Below are 20,938 nucleotides of genomic sequence, written 5' to 3'. Positions count from 1 at the left end.
CTGATTATGTCACAGTTGCCGTGTGTTAGGAACTCAGGAGCAACTTGTTTGGATCCCCTGGCTGCGATTCTCTGACAAGCTTGCAATCATCTTAAGAATCAACTAGGCTGAGGTGGATGAATCACTTCAGGTCAGGAGTTTGAGAACAGCCTGGCCAACATGGTGAAATCCCGTCTTTACTAAAAATACAAAAATTAGCCAGCCATGGTGGCGTGTGCCTGTAGTCCCAGCTATTCAGGACACTGAGGCAGGAGAATCACTTGAGCCCAGAAAGCAGAGGCTGCAGTGAGCTGAGATCACACCACTGCACTCCAGCTCTGTCTCAAAAAAAAAAAAAAAAATCAACTAGGGCAGGATCAGCTTCCAGGCTCATGCTGGTGGTTGATGGCAGGATGCAGGTACTCACCAGAGGCCTCCTTCCATTCCTCACCACGTGGACCTCTCCACAGGACAGTTCACATCATGACAGCTTGCATCATCACAGCAAGCAAGCAAAAGGGCAAGCAAGAGTGTCAGCAAGACAGAAGTCACAGTCTTGGATCCTAAACTTGGAAGGGACGTGCCATCACTCCTGCCAAATTCTGTTCATCAGAAGCACCTGCTCATAAGGGTTCATCCTGTAAAAGTCCTTGCAGGCAGCGTCGTAGTTCCTTCCTGTGCTTCTGGGTTACCCATTGACCTCAGGAGTCACGCTACCAGTTTTGTACTTAGGGTCCACATGAGCTTACAGAGAGCCCCTGAAATCCAGCCCACACGCCAGAAGAGGGGATTCTACAAGGTCGTGAATACCAGTAAAAGGAATCGCTGGAGCTATTGCAGAAACAGCCTGCTTCACCTTCAACTGTCAGCCAGAGGCCGCCACCAGCAGGAAGCTCTCCTGGTCTTTCCCATGATCTTTGGTAATGCTTAGAGAACAAAGCAAGTTTTAAGCACCTGATGGTCTTCACTGAGCCAGAGGCCTGAGCACACGGAAGCAGCAGATGCAAACAGTGAGAAAAGAATTAAACATTTAGAAAGCTTGCCTCATGTAAACACAGACTGAAGCTCACCAATATTAGAGAAGCACTGGTTAAGCAGCTAGAGGAAATTCTGGTCCCTAACTTGAGATAAAACGTCCCCAGAACCAGGGGCTCAGCCAGGATCGAAAGTGACTTTTTCACAGATCGCCAAAAAGAAACAAAACAGATACTCAGAAAGGTGATGCTGGGAGGCTCTGAGCCTCACCCAGATCTCCTTTCCTGGTAGGGCACCCACGCTTCCCCATCCCCACACTGCCCACCAGGAGTGTTGGTCACTAATGGTGTACAGTGGCCCCTTGTCCTCAAATGTCAGAAGCCCACTCTCCCAGAAAGTTGCATGCACACCCCCACCTGCGGTGACACCCTGCCTGGCAAGGGGATGGTGCAGTGGTGCACACAAGTAGTTCCAGCTACTTGAGAGGCTGAGACGAGAGGATCACTTGAGCCTGGGAGTCCAAGGCCAACCTGAGCAGTACAGTGAGACTCAGTCTCTAAGAAAATTATCTTTTAATTTGGTGGGAGATTAGAAGGGATTAGGGGGAAAAAAAAACTATAAAAAAGGCTCCCAGAGGGCAGTCAATAAAAAAAAAAGATTAAAAAGCACGGTGCAAGATGGATGCTAACAGGGAAGATGGTCATGACAGATAGAGACCAACTGCTCCAAGTGGCTAAAATGCAGAAATGGGCTATTTCTGTTACTTGGGCAGATTCCCAGTCTAAGGACTGGTCAGTCCTGATTGCTTCTCCAGAGCCCTCACCCCACGGCACCCCCATCTCAGGCTGCCGGGGTTGCAATCTGGGTTGGGCTGTTCTCAGCTGGAGGAAATGCTGCCTGCCTCCTCCATCTGAAGCTCATTTATGCACAGCCAAGCCTGGCAGCTCTGCTCCCTCATCTCCACCCCTGTTTTGCATATTATTAAAAGCAAATCATTTGGATGTCTGCACTGAGAGAATTTTACTTCTGTCATCATATAAATCTGTTCTGAAATTGATGGATGTGGGGAAAAAAACCCACAAGCAATGTAAATTGGCCCCAGAATGACTGACTTTTCTGTAATTCTGAGATGAGAGAAAGTGCTGCCCTAAGAAGGTGTCATCTATCTGCACACAATTTAGTTTAGAAAGAGAAAATCCTTATCAGTACCTTATTATACATCTCTCAAGCCAGCCGCAGAAAACACAGTGATTTGAGACAATGAATATCATCAATGCTGTGAATTCGATGTAATTGTATTTCATTGAGAAAAAGAAAAATGTCTCTACTCGGCACACTTGTGCACTGTACCATCTGGAGTATCAGAATAGAGAGAAAAAATAGACCAGCCACTCATCCTGTCATTGGGAACTCAGTCACGTGTTTCCTAAACACAAAACATGAACACCATGAGGCTAAGGTAACAGAAATCAGCTTGACAGCTTATTATTTTCTGGAATCCAGCCACTGGTTACCGAACACCCACTGCTGGCCACGGGCTGAGAGCCTCACAGGTTCTCTCCCTTTCCTGCATCCTCTTAATCAGCCCTTCTTGCAGAGGAGGCAATTGACACCCTGAAAGAGGCAGACGCAGGTGTTGAATTGCGTGTTCCCTGGGTTTAGTATTATGACCCTTTGCGTTTCAAAGGACTGAAACACGTTCTGCCGAAAATGTAATGTATGGGCTCGTGAAACTAAAAAGTCCAGTGCTTCAGGTATGCCTGGATCTAGTGCAGCAGTCCCCAGCCTTTTTGGCACCAGGGCCAGTTCCGTGGAAGACAATTTTTCCACAGACCCAGGGGTTGGGGGTAGGCGGGTGTGGTTTTGAGATGATTCGAGCACATAACATCTATAGTGCACTTTATTTCTATTATTATTACATTGTAATATATAATGAAATAACTATACAACTTGCCATAATGTAGAATCAGTGGGAGCCCGGAACTTGTCTTCCTGCACTAGACAGTCCCATCTGGGGGTGGTGGGAGACAGTGACAGATCATCAGGCATTAGATTCTTATAAGGAGTGCACAATGTAGATCCCTCACGTGCATAATTCACAATAGGGTTTGTGCTCGGATGAGAATCTAATGCTGCCACTGATCTGAGAGGAGGCAGAGCTCAGGTGGGAATGCGAGCAAAGGGGAGGGGCTGTAAATATAGATGAAGCTTCACTTGCTCACCTGCTGCTCACCTCCTGCTGTGCAGCCCAGTTCCTAACAGACTAGGGACCATGACTTACCAGTCTGTGGCCCAGGAGTTGGGGACCCCTGATCTAGTGGGGTCTGTAATGAGGACTCTCTCTTCCTCTCAGCCTCACTTTCTCTAGGTAGGCATTGTTTTTCAGGGAGCTTCTTCCCTCTCCGTAGTCCCCAGAAACCCCAAGCCCCAAGCCTTGCAGCCCAGTGACATCAGCAGTTATGAAGAGAGGTTTTTCTTTTCTCTCTTTTCAGTAGTGTCTAGGAAAAGCCCCGGGATTGAATCTCCTTTAGGCAACTCGTGCCCAGTGCAGAAGCATTCACTGCTAGAGGCAGAGAGATGAATGCTTTGATTGGCCAGAAATGGGCCATGTGCCTATCCCTAAAACTGTAGGGGTAAGGAGGGTGGAAACTTTTGAATTGACGGGGTGGGAAGAAAATCAAGGTGCTTTTCTCAGAGCAAGCACTAAAGGGCAAACAGAGATTCATCCTTTATATCATCCAAGAAAAAGCAAGTGGCCCCCTCTTCTCTTTGCGCATTCCCCTCTCCCACACCGAACATTCTATCCTCTGGTTCTGCTTTGCCCTCAAAGCTATTGCCACTCTAGCATTATAGCAGGTATTTATTTTTTCATTCATTTCTTCATGTATTTTCATTCATTTATGCATGTACTCATTCATTCATTTCTGCATGCATTTATTCATTTATTTATTTCTGCATGTATTTATTTCTGTGAAGGCATAACTCATCACTATATCCCCAGTACCCAGAATACCTGGCACATAATACTGTTTAGTATTAGTTGAATAAAAGAATGAATGAATCAGAAACACTGCATTAGGTCATTCTGGGACTGCTATAAATAAATACCTGAGGCTGAGTAATTTATAAAGAAAAGAAGTTTAATTGGCTCACCGTTCCACAGGCTGCACAGGAAGCAAGGTGGCCTCTGCTCAGCTTCTAGGGAGGCCTCAGGAAACTTACAATCATGGCGGAAGGTGAAGGGGAAGCCAGCACTTCACATGACCTGAGCAGGAGGAAGGGAAAGAGAGGGGAGGTGCCACACACTTTCAAACAACCAGATCTCATTAGAACTCACTCATTATCACAATGATAGCACCAAGAGGGACGGTGTTAACCCATGAGAAACCACCCCATTATCCTTTCACCTCCCACGGCCCCTCCTCCAACACTAGGAATTACAATTCTACATGAGATGTGGGCGGGAACACAGATCCAAACCATATCAAACACCAATCTACCTCTCAACTATAAATATATGGTTTAGTTGACAGGGCAAGATAGATGCGACAATGAGTGATCAGCGGTCAGCACACCTAGTAGGTGCTTAATAAATGTTCACCGCCTGCACACTCAGAAGAGTGGAGCAGAACCCCCACACCCACCCTTACCCCTACCAGCCTAAGGTTGGAAGAGACTAGATTCCAAGATCTGTCAGGGTTAGGAGGGTGTCTGCCACTGGCCCGAGGAATCACCTGGAGTGCTTGTTACAGCGCAGGTTGCTGGGTCCCATCTCAGAGTTTCCCATTCAATGTTGGGTGGGGCCCAAGAGTTGCCACCACTGCTGCTGTAGCTCCAGGAACCATAGTTTGAGAACTGAGCCTTTCTGCTGTCAAAGACAGCATCTCCTAGTAGTTATTCCCAAGGTGATACAGCAGCTACTGAATGGCAGAGGGTCCTTAGGAAGGTGCAGCAGGGAGCCACCTAGAGGGGCCAGATTTGCAAATGAAATTAAATTGTGATTAAATCTATCCCCGAAGGTAAGCCTTTGGTGCAGGTTCCCCTAGCAAACTCCCAAGGCTGTGGTTCTCAAACTGTGATCCTTTGACCACTCACTTCAGAACCCCCATCCCTCACCCCCGGGAGACAGTTCAATGTAGATTCTGTCCAAGCCATCCAGCAATTGTTTAGCAATCATGCCAGCCACTGCCCCCAAGGACCATAGGGTTGTGCCAGAACCCGATAGGTCAGAAACAAGTGTTCTGTGAAGTGCTGTCAGAACTAGGAATAATGACCACAGAGGCAGCTGATCAGAGGGCGAAGGAGGAAGAAAGGGAAAAAGGATTTGCTCAGTAGACCCATCCACCACACGCGAGGCCCTTGATACACTTGGTTGCTTGAATCTCCCACAAAACCCTGTGAAATAGCTAGAATTAGCCCCATTTACAGATGAGGAAACTGAGACTCAGAGAGGTTTACTAATTCACCCAGCTAATGAGCACAGTCCAGATTTAAATCTAAAACATTGACTCCAAATCCTGCCTTCTCTCTGCCAAATGGGTTAATGGAAACTGCAGGCAGGGTGGGAACTAGTAGGAGGCTCTAGGAGATGAGGCTCCACCGGACCGGAAGCTGCCAACATCCAGGGTAGAAGCTAGTGATGAGAGGCTGCAGGGAGGAGAGGCTGCAGGAGCTTTCGTCTCGGGAAACTCCCAATTGTGCAACATTCTGTGAGTGCTGAGAGACGCTGGGCATCTTCCCAAGCTTTATCTTCAACCTGATTTCATATCAGGCTGAAAGCAGCTTCATGGGATGAAAATTAAACCACTCAATGCCGAGGAAGGTGCTCTTCCCAAATAATAGGTCTCCATTTCTCCCTCTCCTTACTCATCCTTGGTGCTGAAATATCACGACTCAACTATGCAATTGGTGGCATTTCCCTGAAGCTCAGTTTTATTCTCTGGAAAATGAGAATACTGAGACATCACAGAATTGTGAGTCTTTTTTTGTTTGCTTGTTGTTTTGTTTTAGAGACAGGGGCTGCCTCTATCTCCCAGGCTGGGGTGCAGTGGTATGATCGCAGCTCACTGCAGCCTCAAGCTCCTGGGCTCAATCCTCCTGCCTCAGCCTCCCAAAATGCTGGGATTACAGGTGTGAGCCACCATGCCTGGCCAATTGTGTTAACTGTGTAATACATATGAAAGAGCTATGATCTTGGGACTAAGCCCCTATAGAGATACACAATGTCATCATTGTGGTCATCACTATTACTCATGTTTCAATTAGCTGCACAAGCCAAGATTTAGAAACAAGATCCTGAGGACCATGAAATTACATTTCTACGCACTGTCTTTAAAACATACAACACGGCTGGGCATGGTGGCTCAAGCCTATAATCCCAGCACTTTGGGAGGTCAAGGTGGGCAGATTACCTGAAGTCAGGAGTTCAAGACCAGCCTGGCCAACATGGTGAAACCCCATCTCTACTAAAAATACAAAAATTAGCTGGGCATGGTGGCGGGTGCCTGTTATCTCAGCTATTCAGGAGGCTGAGGCAGGAGAATCACTTGAACCCAGGAGGCGGAAGTGGCAAGTGAGCTGAGATCACCGTTGCACTCCAGCCTGGACGACAAGAGTGAAACTCCATCTCAAAACAAAACATACAACACTATTTTCTTTTTCTGTACCACTGGGTTTTTCAAACTGCTTTTTTAAAAGGCATCTTTGGAAAAAGTGAAGCAATAGTGGTCTCTTGTGGAAGTGAGCAGTATTTGCAACCATTTTTTATAAACTAAATGGCAAAGGACTTTTTAAATTGACAATAATTGTACATATTCATGGGGTATATAATGACGTTTTGACGCACATAATGTATAGTAATCAGATCAGGGTAATCGGCATATCCATCATCTCAAACATTTACCATTTCTTTGTGTTGGGAAAGCTCAATAGCTTCCATCCAGCTATGTGATGCTATATATTATTGTTAACTGCAATCATCCCACGGGAATTTGATGCCCATTGGTGGAAAACGGCCCATTTTCAGAGTGGATGGCTTATGGAAATGCACGCATAAAATCTTAGCCTATATTTAGGAGCCTTTCCTTGGGAGCAGGAAAAGTTTTATTTTTCCTGTTGGCCGGCAGCTTCCTACTCTGTGCTCTCCAAGCCACCCAGGCGAGCCCGAGCAGGTGTTCAGGACGTAGTCTTTGAGATTCGGGGGTCCAGCAAGTCCCGCTGGCATTGTGTGGCGCACATCATTGTGTTTTCATTAAACACTACTGTTGGGGCTCTGAAAACAATACCCCAAAAATGAAGGCCTCAGAAGCAAAAGTTTTTCTCTGACCTTCTCTTGCCCTCCCTTCTCTCAGTTCCACTGCCCTTGCCAAGGCTAGCCGTAGAAACTAGAATCCCTCTTTTCCAAGGCAGGCCATAGAAACCAGAACCCTCTTTCCCCAAAGCCAGCCATAAAACTTAAAAATATTACTCTAACTTTCTCTCCGCCTTTCTATGTAAAAACTGGCCATAAAGAAATTATCTGGGCCAGGCGCAGTGGCTCATGCCTGTAATCCCAGCACTTTGGGAGGCTGAGGCAGCAGGATTGCTTGAGCCTAGGAGTTCAAGACCACCCTGGGCAACATAGTGAGATCCCATCTCTAAATAAACTTTTAAAATATAAATACTTTTAAAAAGAAATAAAAAAATTATCTGGCTGGCTGCAGTGGCTAACCCTGTAATCCCAGAGTTTTGGGAGGCCAAGATGGGAGGATTGCCTGAGGCCAAGAGTTTGAGATTAGCCTGGATGACATAGTGAGATCCTGTCTCTACAAAAAAAAAAAAAAAAAAAATAATAATAATAATAATAATAATAAATACATTTTAAAAAATTACCTGACCTACCTTCTTTGACTGCAGGTCCTAAGACCCCCATTCCAGAGAGGGTCCTGTCCCACACCCAGAAGGAAAGCAATGATGCATAGAGAAGTCAAGAAGAATCAAGACAGACAGGCCTTGCTGGGCTCCTCCGCTCAGTCTATTAGCATTAGATCAGACTTTTTTTATCTTTATTTCAACAAATAAGGCTGATAGGGTTGATTGGCTGGAAAACAAGGACTGGCTTAGCCAATTAAGTTATACGATGGATACACTCTCTAAATTGAATGAGCTAGAGCTACAGCTCTGAGCTTTTGTTGCAAATATAGTTAAAGGAGGTGACAAGATAAAGGCACTTTAAAAAACTACTCTCAGAGATGTGTTGAAGTTAATAGTACAGTAGACCCTTGTACAGCATGGGTTTGAACTGCGTGGGCCCACTTAATACACAGATCTTTTCAATAACTACACTGGAAAATTTGGGGGGGGATTTTTGACAAATTGAAAAAGACAAATCACGTAGGCTAGAAATATTGAAAACATTTAAGAAGAAGATATGTCATAAATGCATCAAATATATGTAGCTACTAGTCTATTTTATCATTTATTACCATAAAACACATGTGAATTTATTATAGTTAAAAGGTATTAAAACTTACATGAACACACTGTACATTTATGTAATTAAATGTAAAGATGCAGTATTAAACCATAACTGCATAAATTAACTGTAGTACATGCTGAACTACTGTAATAATTTTATAGCCACCTCCTATTGCTAATGTGGTGGGTTCAAGTGTTGCATATATCTGCTTAAAATACTGGTAGGCCGGGCGTGGTGGCTCACACCTGTAATTCCAGCAATTTTGGAGGCCAAGGCAGGAGGCTCACTTAAGCCCGGGAGGCAGAGGTTACCATGAGCCAAGATGGCACCATTGTACTCCAGCCTTGGGGACAGTGGGAGACCCTGGCTAAACACATCCATGCACACACACACACACACACACACACACACACAGACACACTGTGTGATCCCTTCCACCTCTGCCACTCCTGAGACAGCAAGGCCAACCCCTCCACTTCCTCCCCCTCCTCAGCCTACTCAACGTGAAGATGAGGATGAAGACCTCTATGATGATCCATTTCCACTTATGAATAGTACATATTCTTTCTCTTCCTTATGATTTTTAAAGTAACACTTTCTTTTCTCTAGCTTACTATATCATATAAATACAATATATAATATATATGACCTACAAAATATGTACTAGCTGACTGTTTTATTATTGGTAAGGCTTCCAGTCAACAGTAGGCTATTAGTGATTAAGTTGAGTCAAAAGTTAACACGAATTTTCCACTGAGCAGGGGTTGGCATCCCTAAGTGTTGCTCAAGGGTCAACTGTATTTTTAAATTTCCCAGCACTTTCTGAGTGTTTCAGGTTACCTGAGCCTCTCTAAATAAAACAACAGGTACAATGAATAATCATTTGGTATGTTTTGGAGGGGCTTTCTGGAATATGTTCCAGAAACTGCAAAAATGAATGACTCTAATAGCTGAATACCTACCTTTTTGCAAGTCAGTGTTTTCCAAGTCTGCTTACAACAAAATTGAAAGAGAGCCTAATTTATCAGCACAGAATTCTCAAAAACGAGTTCTTATGATAAAGTATTATGTAAATTTTGACATTATTCAGACATACAATTAAGACATTTATATCTATGTATAGATATCCATATGTAATATCTACAATAAAAACTCTATTTCCGTGCACTTATTTGTGTGAATACATTACATCCATAAAATAAAAAATAAGGGCCAGGCACAGTGGCTTATGCCTGTAATCCCAGTACTTTGGAGGGCTGAGGCAGGAGGATTGCTTGAGCCCAGGAGTTTGAGACCAGCCTGGGCAACATGGCAAGCCCCTATCCCTACAAAAAAATACAAAAATTAGCCGGGCATGGTGGTGCGCACCTGTAGTCCCAGCTACTTGGGAGGCTGAGGCAGAAGGACTGCTTGAGCCCAGGAGTTCAAGGCTGCAGTGAGCTATGGTTTCTCCACTGCACTCTAGCCTGGGCAACAAAGGAAGACCCTGTCTCAAAAAAAAAAAAAAAAAAAAAAAAAAAGGAATATAATTCATGCTGAAACCCATCTCATTCCAACAGTAAGCAGTATTCATCCACAGCCATACAATTCAATTAAAGAGGTGGAAAAACAAAACTGTCATTTAACAAAGGGAAACTTTTCTAATAAATTTTTGTTAATAACTATCAAAATATATATGTTGTTTATACAACTAATTGTAATGTCAGCTCAATTCCAAAGACTTTTTTAATACTTAGAAACTTATGAACACAGAAAATTGTTAAGGATTTTATAGAATTGAAATATATTAAATCGGTATAAAATTCTGTGGGGAGGAAGAAATGTAAATACTAATTCAAGCAGAAAAAGAGACAATCTAAAATTCCCAATAAATAAATTGGAATATATTCTTTAATAGATGATGGCGGGTAACAAATTATGACGGTTTACAGATTTCAATGGATATATTTAAAAGGGTTAAAGTTTTATTTTAAAATGTCAGTATTTACCCCCCAAAATCAGTTTAGGGTGGTCCAGATAGGTTTTCTAACGATGGCAACTGGCTCTTGTTCCTTTTTGGTGCCTTATTAAGCAGGCGTTAAGCTTTTCAAATGATCAGGTCATTTTCTTCGAGAATTTGACGAGCCCATCATTGAAGGGCACCCAGCCGTGCAGCAGAGCGTCTTCAAAGCTCCCCACGATGAGAGACTTTACCTTGAAAAGGTGGATGTTTGAGAAGCAAGCTCTTTAAAGAGGAGCTCTCTGTGGTGTGGGGCAGTGTAGGTCCCCAAAAGTAGCCTTCTTCCTACCCGCCGACACAGGCAGAGAGAATATTCTGAATTGTGGAGAAAGGGCATTCACAGTGTGCCTTCTGGGGTCTTCATCCCTGGCAGCTGCAGAGGACCTGGTGCTGGGCTCCTGGCAAGCCAGAAGCAGGCGCGCAGCCCAGTCCCAGCCTCGCCCCTCCAGCCCTGGGGAGGGTCTACTTGCGTCTCTGACCAAAGGTCGAGCTACTCCCTCTGGGGAGAGACAGCGACATCCCTTCTCTTCATACGGGGGCTAGAACCAAACCATTCACAATGGCACCGTGAAAATAAGTAATTCAAATTTAAGCTGTTGGAACTTTTAAATATTTCAAGCCTTAAGGAAATGTGATTATGGGACCTGAGTTCAGGCATCTGTAACCTTTATTTTTCTGACTATAGATTAGCCTTCTTCCTTACCTACATTGCTTTGTAAGAAGTGACTAAAGGGCACCAGGGAAGACTCCTTCCTTCTTCACTGTTGATCTTCACTATAGATTAACTTCCCTCTTCCCTTTCTCACACAAAGACCTCATGACTATCACACTGTCTCAAGAAGGAATGTTAAATGGACTCTTAAATTGGAAAGGACATGAAAACAAGCTGTACAGAAAATAAACAAAACTGTAACAAAACTGTTGTTAACTCGTAAACCATCCTCGTACGGAATATGTTTTAATCCTACTAGATATCTTTGTCTTCTACCTATGTAAGCAAGACCTTAACTTCTAACTTGGGAGCATTGACCCCATTTTTCTGGAGTCTGTGTTCCCTGGGTAACCGGTTATTCCCGGCTTTGGGATCTAATAAACTCTTAATCATATATCTAATATACTTCATCATATTTTCTGAATTTCATCATTTAAGGTTGACGGCATCTAAAAGAGAGCGTCAGGCTGTTGCTTCCAGTGGGTTCCGCTGTGACAGGAAGCAAGATTGTTTACTTTCCAGGGTTCTCTGCTGGAGAAATGGAATCATAGAATTTACCGCTCAGGACTTGGGTGAGGTTTGAATGTAACAGGCTTTTAAACCATACACACATGCACGTGAGTGCACACAAGCACATAGACAGACACACACACACACACACACACACACACACACACAGAGCCAGAGTGGGGAGGGACTGTTCATTCTTTAGGCCACTGACTAGCAGACTGGGCCAGACGCTTAAGCACAAAGACCAGGTGTGCTGGGGCACAGGTACCACCACACCCAACCACTCTGCACCTCCTGGTCTGGGTTTCTGAGTTAGGAAGACATTAGCATACTTCCTTGATTAAAGAAGGAAAAAAAAACTTTAAGGGACAAAGAGACATAACCTGTAAACATTTTAGCAGCTGCCGCCTCACACGCTGACAAATGTAGCTTCTAATTCATTTTGCCATCACGGGAACCCTAGGAGTTGATGTGCTATCATCTCTGATTTTAAAAGTGAGGACACCGTGTGAAGGTGAGTGCCTTGACCCAAGCCACACATCCAGGACAAAGCCAGGAGGCCAGCCCAGCCTCCCCATGGCCAGCCATGTTCTTACTCTTCCTCCAGCATCCCTGTTTAAGCCCTAGGTCTGATCCTGGATGTCAAATCCAGCTGGACCATAATTATAGGAAACACGTTAAGTGCCTTACACATATGAATCCACCCAGTCCTCACAACTATCCTGAGTATGGGCTATTATTATCAACCCATTTACTAGACAGGAAAACTGAGGCCATCAAGTCTGTAACTTGCCCAAGGCACACAGCTAAGTTAGGGGTAGAGTTGGAATTGTACCCAGCACCGTGTGGCCCAGAGTCCCCATACTCCACCCGACACTGACTACAGCGTTCATACAGGACTGCTGGGCTCCACTTGCTCCACAGATGGCAAAGGGCCTGGTGCTCCCACTACTGAGGCAGCCTGGAGTGGGAAAGGCAGGAAGGCAAGAACCCTGTGGCTCTTGATTTGGTCCCTTGGCCCACTGGACTTGCTTGGTTTTGTCAAGATCACAAACCCACAAGACTTGACAAACACAACCCCACCACCCCTCACAATAGTAGAGCTCAATGTGGGCAAGGTGTTTCCAGCCTTGAGAGTCTCTCCTTCGCCCTGTCATGCTTCGTGGCCTTTAAAAAGGCCCATCAGGCGTGGTGGCTCATGCCTGTAACCCCAGCACTTTGGGAGGCCAAGATGGGCAGATCACCTGAGGTGAGGTGTTTGACACCAGCCTGGCCAACATGGTGAAACCCCGTCGCTACTAAAAATACAAAAATGAGCCTGGTGTCGTGACACGTGCCTGTAGTCCCAGCTACTCAGGGAGGCTGAGACAGGAGAATCAGTTGAACCCAGGAGGCAGAGGTTGCAGTGAGCCGAGATCGTGCCACTGCACTCCAGCCTGGGTGACTGAGTGAGACTCTGTCTCAAATAAAAAAAAAAAAAAACCCGTATCAAAATTGTCTGTGACCAAAGCTGGGACACAGATGTCACAAAGCAGGAGCAGGTCCCTTCCTCAGGATCCCACCATGGTCCCCAGTGGCAACACACAGGGAGGGAGGCCAGCCCTCCAGAACCCTCTACCCACACGCTTCCCATGGGCCTCTGCACCCACACAGACCGTGAAGTGCCACTGCTCTCAGAGGTGAGGAGAAATGAAGCGCCTTGCTTAGATAACGCAGAGAACTGGTTTTAGATCCCAGATACACTCAGCTAATTGGCAATAAGAATAGACAATGAACTCAGTGGCCAAGAGAAAGGAGGCTGATGCAGAGGGGAAGGCCAGGGCTGGGACAAAAGTCATGAAAAGCAGTTCTGACCTGCATGTGAGGGGCATTTAATGGAAGAGTGTGACATACAAAAATGTAGTGGAATTCCATGGGGGAGGTATTACTTAGGGCTTAGCTATAAAAAGCAAGGTTTTATTCATCTAGATGGGCACTTCCTTTAGAGACTTTTCTCCCATTTGTCTTGCATGTAATGTAATGTACATGAGAATGTAAAAAAGAAACAAGATGACAACTCAAAAAAAGAAATCTTTTAATAAAAATTACTCATAAAAATCCTAATAAATTTTAAAGAGCAAGATATTCCTTATTACATTTATAAAAGAACATTTGGTCCTTTTACAAAAAGATCCCTTTTAATTTAAATACATTTCTTATTTACAGATTAAACATAAAATATCATCTACAGTTGCAAAGCATATTGCACATTACAGAGAAGCATTTGTGTATTTCCGTAAGTTTTCCCAGAGTTTCCAACTCTATACTTTTTTTTGTAAAAAGATTTACCTTTCTTATGCAAAATAAATAAAAATGCAGCTTGTGTTTTGCTATTTAAAACTAAAACAAAATAACCTTTAAAAATATTATTCCTCTGCCTTGCAGAAAGAAGGAAGAGGGTATAGAATCAGGGAGTTCCACAGGTACTTGATATTTTTACCAGATTCACGTCCAGATTCAAGCGGGAGCATAACCCTGAGCCCTGTGAAACCTGGGACACAGGGCCCAGCCCGTCCCACCTCCTCGATTTCCCAAGGGGTCCCTGCCCTGCAGGGAAGAGGCACTAGAATAGGAGCTGGATGCTGGGAATGGACAGGAAAGCTCAGGATTTTCTTCTAAAGTTCCTGCTCAGCCACCCTGTGGCTAAGGTAATCACTCAGCCCTACCTTTTCACCAGCACTACATTTGAAAAAAGATTTTTGTTTTTGTCAACAGACAAAAAAAATTTATCAAAGAGAAAGGCCCCTGGTGCCCTCCAGAAAGCAGAAAGGAATGTCTCATGTTGAGTCTACACAATCCAAAGAGGAATTACAGGTGGTAATCATTCAGTAAACTGAACTACGAAATCATTAAGAGGGATATTTTCCTTTGGTGGGGAGAAGGGGAAAGGGGAGGAGGAAACAAGGCCCTCAGATTGCACAACTGCACTGACCAAACCAGGTACTTCTACAGACGCTCCTCTAATAGTCACGTGCACAGACACCATCCTGGTGCATTTTTCTTTAAATACATAGAAAATTATTTAAGTGTCACGTGCACAGTCCATGATCTAAAACAAGAAAAGCCCTGAGGATTCAGTTACAATGAGTAAGTTCCAGCACAAGCGCTGCCAAAAAAAAAATTTAAAAAAATGAAGGAAAGATTTGAATACAGAAGCTGGTTTTTCACAATGGCCAGTGCAAATGGAGAGCTAGCAAACCCTCCCTTGCCACCTATGATTCTAGAAGGGATTCCTCGGTCACATCAACTAAAGTAGCTAAGCTACTGTAATGATTTGAAAGTTTGTTATGAGAGAATTATGCTTTGTCAAGCCAACTATAAGGCAGCTTTCTACAACAGTTCTGCAAAATGTTTCCACCACACTGAGCAAAGCTGACACTAGACACTAGCTACACGTGGGAATAGGAAGATGGGCCAGGCTCAGAGCCGCCGCAAAGGATGAAGTCCACTCAGATTTGAGGCAATCCTGGGGCAAAGCACTGAGCAAAGCAACTTCTCTGGTAATCTCCTCCTCAGCCATTCTCTACCCAGTATTTCAGAACACAGAACAGAAGAAACTGCAAAAGCCCTGCAGGATATATCACAGCTGTTAACATTCTGACTTTAAAAAAAAAAAAAAAAAACAAGTAACCTTTGAAACTGGCTCAAAGAACCTTCTGGCATCCAGCCCCACAAACCACTGACTACATAGCATCAAACTTTGGACGGGGTAGTCTGGAAGCTCAACAACCAGGATTAATATGTACTAACTCACTCACCCTCAGTCTCACCCACTGGTATTAATTCCAGTACCCAGAAGTCAAGTGGGTTTGTGACTTAACATAAAACACGTTTCCTGACAGCCTGTGGCCCCTGGGAAGCACCTGCAGCATTGTGTAGTTTGCAAGCATGAGATCCCTATTCCCTATTCCAGGAGCATGAGGAGGAAGGAACACCCAGGCTTGCTCGAGTGACAGGCAAAGTGCCTCATTAAGAGAACACTGGAGTGCTTACCCACCACTGCCGCCACAGAAGCCAGAGCGGGAGAGGAGGGGAGCGCCAAGAGAAATCACAGGCAGGAAGAACTCACCTCCTTCTCTGAGATGCTCTATTTTCCCAAATGGGTCACTAACAGTCCCACCTGTTTGCCCAGAGACAAAGGTACAAGTATGCTCGTGTGTGCATGCATGCATGTGTGTGTAATTAACATTTTCAATGAGTCAGTGAAAACATTTAAAATATATATATATATTATTCTCAAAGTTTTCTATTCAGTAGATGGGACACTGTTAATAAACAGAATAATGCTTCTGAAATGAAAAAAGGTAAAATAGAAGCATTTTATTTTTTCTATTTTAAAACAATTGTTGTAATAAATGTTTAAGAGATAGAGATGGCACGTTTATTACTGAAAATACTCTTTTCAAAAATCTCAAAGAACTGAACTATATAAAACCATAACACTTAAAATTTTCAAGAAGGAATAAGATTTCTCCCTTTTGACTAAAAATGCAACATAAACTTAGACAGTGCTTATTTCTAGCTTTGAAAAGATGTACATGAAATCCTTAGAGGTGGGAAAACAGTGACAGGTGAGAACCGTGCTATGTGAGGCTGGAAGTTTTAGGGATTTCCTACCTTTTTTACTAGAATGCGTTTCCACCCATGACGCTTCATGGAAGCCAGACTAAGAGTCAACCCTGCTGCACTGTGTAAGAGTAGCAGGTGTGTATCAGTGTGAGTTCAAAGAGAGATGTTCTGGCTAAGAAAATAATAACAAAAAAACAAAGGCATTTTAGCACAACTTCCTCCTTCTACATGCTTACTTTTACAGGATGAAAGGCAAAGACTGGCCAAGCAATTTCCATCCCCCTTTCACCACGGTCTCACCATGTGGCTAAACAGGCCTCCTGAAACCATAGCAGTAGCTGCGACATCCAGTGCCCCAAACCAAAACCAATATAAGGCACTAATCTAAAGCCTGTATTACACAGAGAAATGGCTCAAGGATGCTAAAAGTCATGTGATCATTTCTTTCTCCCTGATTTAGCTAATTGGCACTAGACACAGAAAACAGAAACAAAACAGAACTCTAACCCAAATATGGTCAGAAGTGAGAATCCTTGCTTAGGAAATATGAGAAAGATGGAAGCTCAGACAATCTTAGGTATTGTTCTCTCCCTAAAAGGCACCTGATTCTGGAACTATGGGAGTTCCTCAGGTAAGTTCATATTCAAAATGCAAAATACCACCCAAAAGATGTCAGTTAACCTCTTAGACCATAACATAATAACCTAAGAGACTATCTGTTAAGAATTCTGGTTAAGACCATTCTTCTTAAGCAAATAATTTGTAACACTGTAAAGATTACTTGAGGCAAACATGAAAAACTGGATGACTTTTTCTCCCATGTGATCCAAAATCACGGTTGGATATCAGGGGAAGACCCCAATTATCTAACAACAGAAAGGATGACATTTTCAATGCAATTAAATAGGGATACCAAATGAACCATGGGCCCTTTTGCAGAAATTTCATTCTCAATCCTCTAACAAAGAAGTAGCTAGCCAGGTACAGTGGTGCTCACCTGTAATCCCAGCTACTCGGGAGGCTGAGGCAGAAGGATCACTTGAGCCCAGGTAACCCTGTCCCAAAAAAATATCAAGACCCTGTCTCAAAAAAATAAAATATAATAAAAAAAATTTTTTAAAGACATAGCAATACTCCAGTATAGCAGGTGCCAGCAAAGTGAAGAGACTTAGGTTCTGAAGTATAAAGCTGTGAACATCAATCCAAAGATGCCCCATCTATTGTGCTTATAACATCAACATGTCATAAGAGGGCAATTTCCATGTATCTTCTCACTTCAAATTATATCCTTAACAGGGCATTTTATTGAACAGGAGAGAAACACTGAAGTGTGCAAGGATTAACCAGACGTGGTGAGGTGTTGCACAGAAATTCCTACACCACCATGGACAGCAAGACTTCTGTCCCCTTTCATTTCAGACTGGACTTTGGCATGGTCTGGGTTTGGTCGTTAAGGTCTGGTTCAAGATGAGGCCTCACAGAGAGCAGATCAAATCAAACCAACCATCTGGTCAATCTGTCGCATGTAGATGCTCTTTAAGGGCAGGGAGTACCTCCTCTCATCAGGTACACGATTGCACTAGAAAGACAAAAACGAGGGAAAATTAAAAACTCATATGTTGCTCTCTCAGGAAATGTGACTGGATGACTTAATCCAGGGTTTCTCAGCCTGTGAACTACTGACGTTTGGAAGTAACTGTTGTGGAAGCTGCCTGTACACTGCAGGACGGTCAGCAGCACCCCTTGCCTCTCCCACTAGGTGCCAGTGGCAACTCCTACGCCTCAGCTGTGAAAATCAAAAACGTCTCCAGACGCTGTTCCAATGTTCCCTGAGGAGCAAAATCACCCTCAGGTGAAGACCAGTGACATAATTTAACATCCTCACTCACTTTATAAAGAAATGGCAGATCCAGGGAAGCTAAAAGGCATCGCAGCAACTGCTTCGTGGCCAGGACTGAAAGCCACATCCCTGGGGTCCTTAGTCCGCCCAGAATTTCAGAAAACATTTCTGCTACTTGAAAATACTGTGTTTTTCTGAGCTATGTTTTTCTCATTCACAACTCACTAAACTCTAAATGCTTAAGACTATTTCTTTAATTAAAACCCCCCCACCCCCACCACTTTTTTTCCTCAAAGCAGATGCACATCTTGAGAACTAACCAACTGTGACATCCCTGGAAGCAGTTGTCTAAATACATTCATTATCTGCTTCATCTCCAAAGAAACATTTTCCCCACGCTTTGTAGTAAGTTGAACTTACTACACCCTGCTCCTCATCCCTGGCAAGATCAAGACTGGCCGGTCCTTCCATTGGTCCCGACTGCCCCCACCAGCCCACATCTCTGTGCTTTTGCAGGTGCTACTGCTTCTGCCTGAACACCCTTTCTGGGATACCCCTTTTCATCCTTCAAGGATCTCCAGCAAGTGACCTCCTCAGGGAATCCTGCCTTGATTTTCTCTGGAGATTACTCCCTACCCTCTGTGTTTCAACAGCACTACAGACAAACGCCTAGGATGGAAGTGGATTCCCCACTAGGCCATGCTCCTATCCAGAACCGGGAGCCCTTCTGAGGGCCTGAATCCCTGGTGCCTGGAATCATGGGATCAGATCTATTAGTGAGTATGGCAGGTCAGAGATGTCTCCTTCCTAAAAGAGAAGACACTGCCTGGGTCCAAATCCTGGCTCCACTGTGGGACCTGAACCTCTCTGTGCCTCCCTTTCTTCAGCTGTAAAATGGAGATGTTAAAAGTAACCACCCCTCACAGGGCTGTTGTTAGAAGTAAACAGATTAATGTACGTAAGCGTTTAGAATGGTGCAAAGGCTAACCCTGGTATGTGTTTGCAAATGCTGGCTGTTATTAACTCTTCCCCCTCTCACCCTCCTTCCCCTTCCTCCCGATTATGCTTTGTCCACTCAATCAGCGCTCCATGACTGATGGAAATGGGGGCGGGGGTGGTTATCTACACTCTGGCCTATCGATTTACTTCATAGACTGATGGTGAAGACCTTCACTGGGGCATTAACGGAAAAGCACTGAAGCACAGTCGGCGATGAGAGGGCACCCCTAATGCCAAGGCAACCCATCTGTGGGGAGGCTGCCGAACTCCTGACCACCAAGGCCCTGGGGGATAACAAGATTTGAAATTTTGACTGACCTACATTTCCCTATCCTCACTTCCAAATCATCCTATTTGATTCAAATCAACACAACTACCTGATACTTTCACTAGGGATGCAAGGACTTCCATTTCCAAATTTTTCCTGCTGCTTCTCAGGACAATCTAGGCATGTGGAGTAAAGCCCCACTTTAAATGAATGTGGGTGTTTGCTGCACTTCGAAGAGCATCTTCATTGGGACCATCGTGACCATCACTGCTTTTTTTCCCTTCTGCTGCTGGTAAATGATTTTGCTGAATGTCTTCCATTTGCCCCTCCAGGTCCACTGATGGATCATATCAACAGGCTCCCTCGGCCTCCAGCTTCTGCCCCAGGCAGCCAAGAAGATGCTCCAGCAGGCAACTGGGGGAGCGGGGAGGGGTCACATGTTGACTCTGCCGGCTCCCTCCAGGCAAGGCCTTGAAAGTCAGATCTGAGCCGTGGCTCCTGCTGAGTGCTCGCTCCTCCCACAAGGCTCCCCCCTTCCAGGATCCTGTAGCCACTCTCCCCACCAGCACCTGCAGCCAGCAGTGATGATGCCACCGCTGCTCCTGCGGTTTCCCTATACCCTGACAACAGCTATGTAAATGGTGTCTTTAGGAGGTGTTTTCAAATCTCCCAATCTGCATACACCATCAATTTTCTGTCAGGAAGTCTGAACAACTAAGCAATTCATAGTATCTTCTCTTCCTCTATATGCAAATCACCCCTGGAAAAAGCAACTCACGTTGGAGCTGGAGTTGATGACTTTTAACTCATGAGGTTTCGGCCTGTGCACAGACTTTCCCCCTTGGTCCTGCCCTCCCTCTTCAGAGAAGAATTCCTTCCATGGCAATTCCCGAAGATGCTCATCCACAGATACAATGTGTCCCTCTGTTGTGAACATGTATCTGGTTCCAGACTTGTGTACTGGATTGTCTTCATCAAACAGCTAGAGGGAACGGAGAAAAAGATACAACCAATAATTGTAGCACACTGGGAACTGAATCATGGGGGCGTGTCCCAGCTACTCAGGGAGTAGAATTTGCTTGGGCCTCATGCTTCTCAGTGACAACTGGGTGAAAAGGAATTGACTGACAACTGTGGTGCCCAACCCAGGCTGCAAGGCAGAATCACCTGCTTCATCTAAACTCAGATGCCCAGACCTGCCTCTCCCCTACACATACCCTGCCCAGACGCAGAGACTCAGAAATTCTGAAACTAAGGCCCAAGCACAGGTAGTCTATAAAAGTTCACTGGATGATTTCCATGTGCTACCTAAGAGTTCTCCTGCTGGAATTCTAGAACTACACCCAACCTCACACACACCTAGACCCTGAACTGTAAATGCTGACAGGGAGGGACCAAGTTTTATCCACCACCATTTCCCCAGGGCCTAGCACAGAGCCCAACACATCTGCCAACATTCACTTCACTTCTTGCACAACAAGGGTTGGGCTCTGAAGACGCAATGGACACAAGGCACAGTCCTTTCCCTCAATGGTGCATGTGACACGGAACGAAAGAGCATCTAGAAAGAACATCTAACCCAATATGGGATG

At 44.6% G+C, this 20,938-nt stretch overlaps 1 protein-coding gene across 7 annotated transcripts in view, besides 4 other annotated features; it reads right to left on the bottom strand.

Annotated features, from left to right (window-relative positions):
- Positions 664 to 1,173: an enhancer, noted in NCBI's record as "NANOG hESC enhancer chr3:5274159-5274668 (GRCh37/hg19 assembly coordinates)". NCBI's record gives its function as "activates a minimal SCP1, AML or CMV promoter by ChIP-STARR-seq in naive H9 embryonic stem cells {active_cell/tissue: H9 hESC(naive)}" and the evidence as "EXISTENCE:reporter gene assay evidence [ECO:0000049][PMID:30033119]".
- Positions 10,217 to 10,772: an enhancer, noted in NCBI's record as "H3K4me1 hESC enhancer chr3:5264560-5265115 (GRCh37/hg19 assembly coordinates)". NCBI's record gives its function as "activates a minimal SCP1, AML or CMV promoter by ChIP-STARR-seq in naive H9 embryonic stem cells {active_cell/tissue: H9 hESC(naive)}" and the evidence as "EXISTENCE:reporter gene assay evidence [ECO:0000049][PMID:30033119]".
- Positions 10,773 to 11,329: an enhancer, noted in NCBI's record as "H3K4me1 hESC enhancer chr3:5264003-5264559 (GRCh37/hg19 assembly coordinates)". NCBI's record gives its function as "activates a minimal SCP1, AML or CMV promoter by ChIP-STARR-seq in naive H9 embryonic stem cells {active_cell/tissue: H9 hESC(naive)}" and the evidence as "EXISTENCE:reporter gene assay evidence [ECO:0000049][PMID:30033119]".
- Positions 13,689 to 20,938, bottom strand: part of EDEM1 (ER degradation enhancing alpha-mannosidase like protein 1) — a 32,252-nt gene continuing 25,002 nt past the window's right edge. For 4 of the 7 annotated variants that reach the window (XM_011534272.3, NM_014674.3, XM_047449266.1 and 1 more), the window contains 2 exons: positions 20,125 to 20,328; positions 13,689 to 17,818 (listed from right to left, as the gene is read on the bottom strand). In XM_011534272.3, the coding sequence (XP_011532574.1) occupies positions 17,729 to 17,818; positions 20,125 to 20,328 (294 nt within the window). In that variant the 3' untranslated portion in view covers positions 13,689 to 17,728. Of the gene's footprint in view, positions 17,819 to 20,124; positions 20,329 to 20,938 lie in introns of those variants that run through there. The other 3 variants (XM_047449264.1, XM_047449265.1, XR_007095771.1) reach the window with 3 other exon arrangements.
- Positions 19,762 to 20,263: an enhancer, noted in NCBI's record as "NANOG-H3K4me1 hESC enhancer chr3:5255069-5255570 (GRCh37/hg19 assembly coordinates)". NCBI's record gives its function as "activates a minimal SCP1, AML or CMV promoter by ChIP-STARR-seq in naive H9 embryonic stem cells {active_cell/tissue: H9 hESC(naive)}" and the evidence as "EXISTENCE:reporter gene assay evidence [ECO:0000049][PMID:30033119]".

The sequence above is a fragment of the Homo sapiens genome, chromosome 3 (assembly GCF_000001405.40).
Source record: "Homo sapiens chromosome 3, GRCh38.p14 Primary Assembly".
Lineage (NCBI taxonomy): Eukaryota > Metazoa > Chordata > Mammalia > Primates > Hominidae > Homo > Homo sapiens.
Note: the sequence above shows the minus strand (reverse complement) of the source record. Positions and strands in the feature narration are given on the sequence as shown.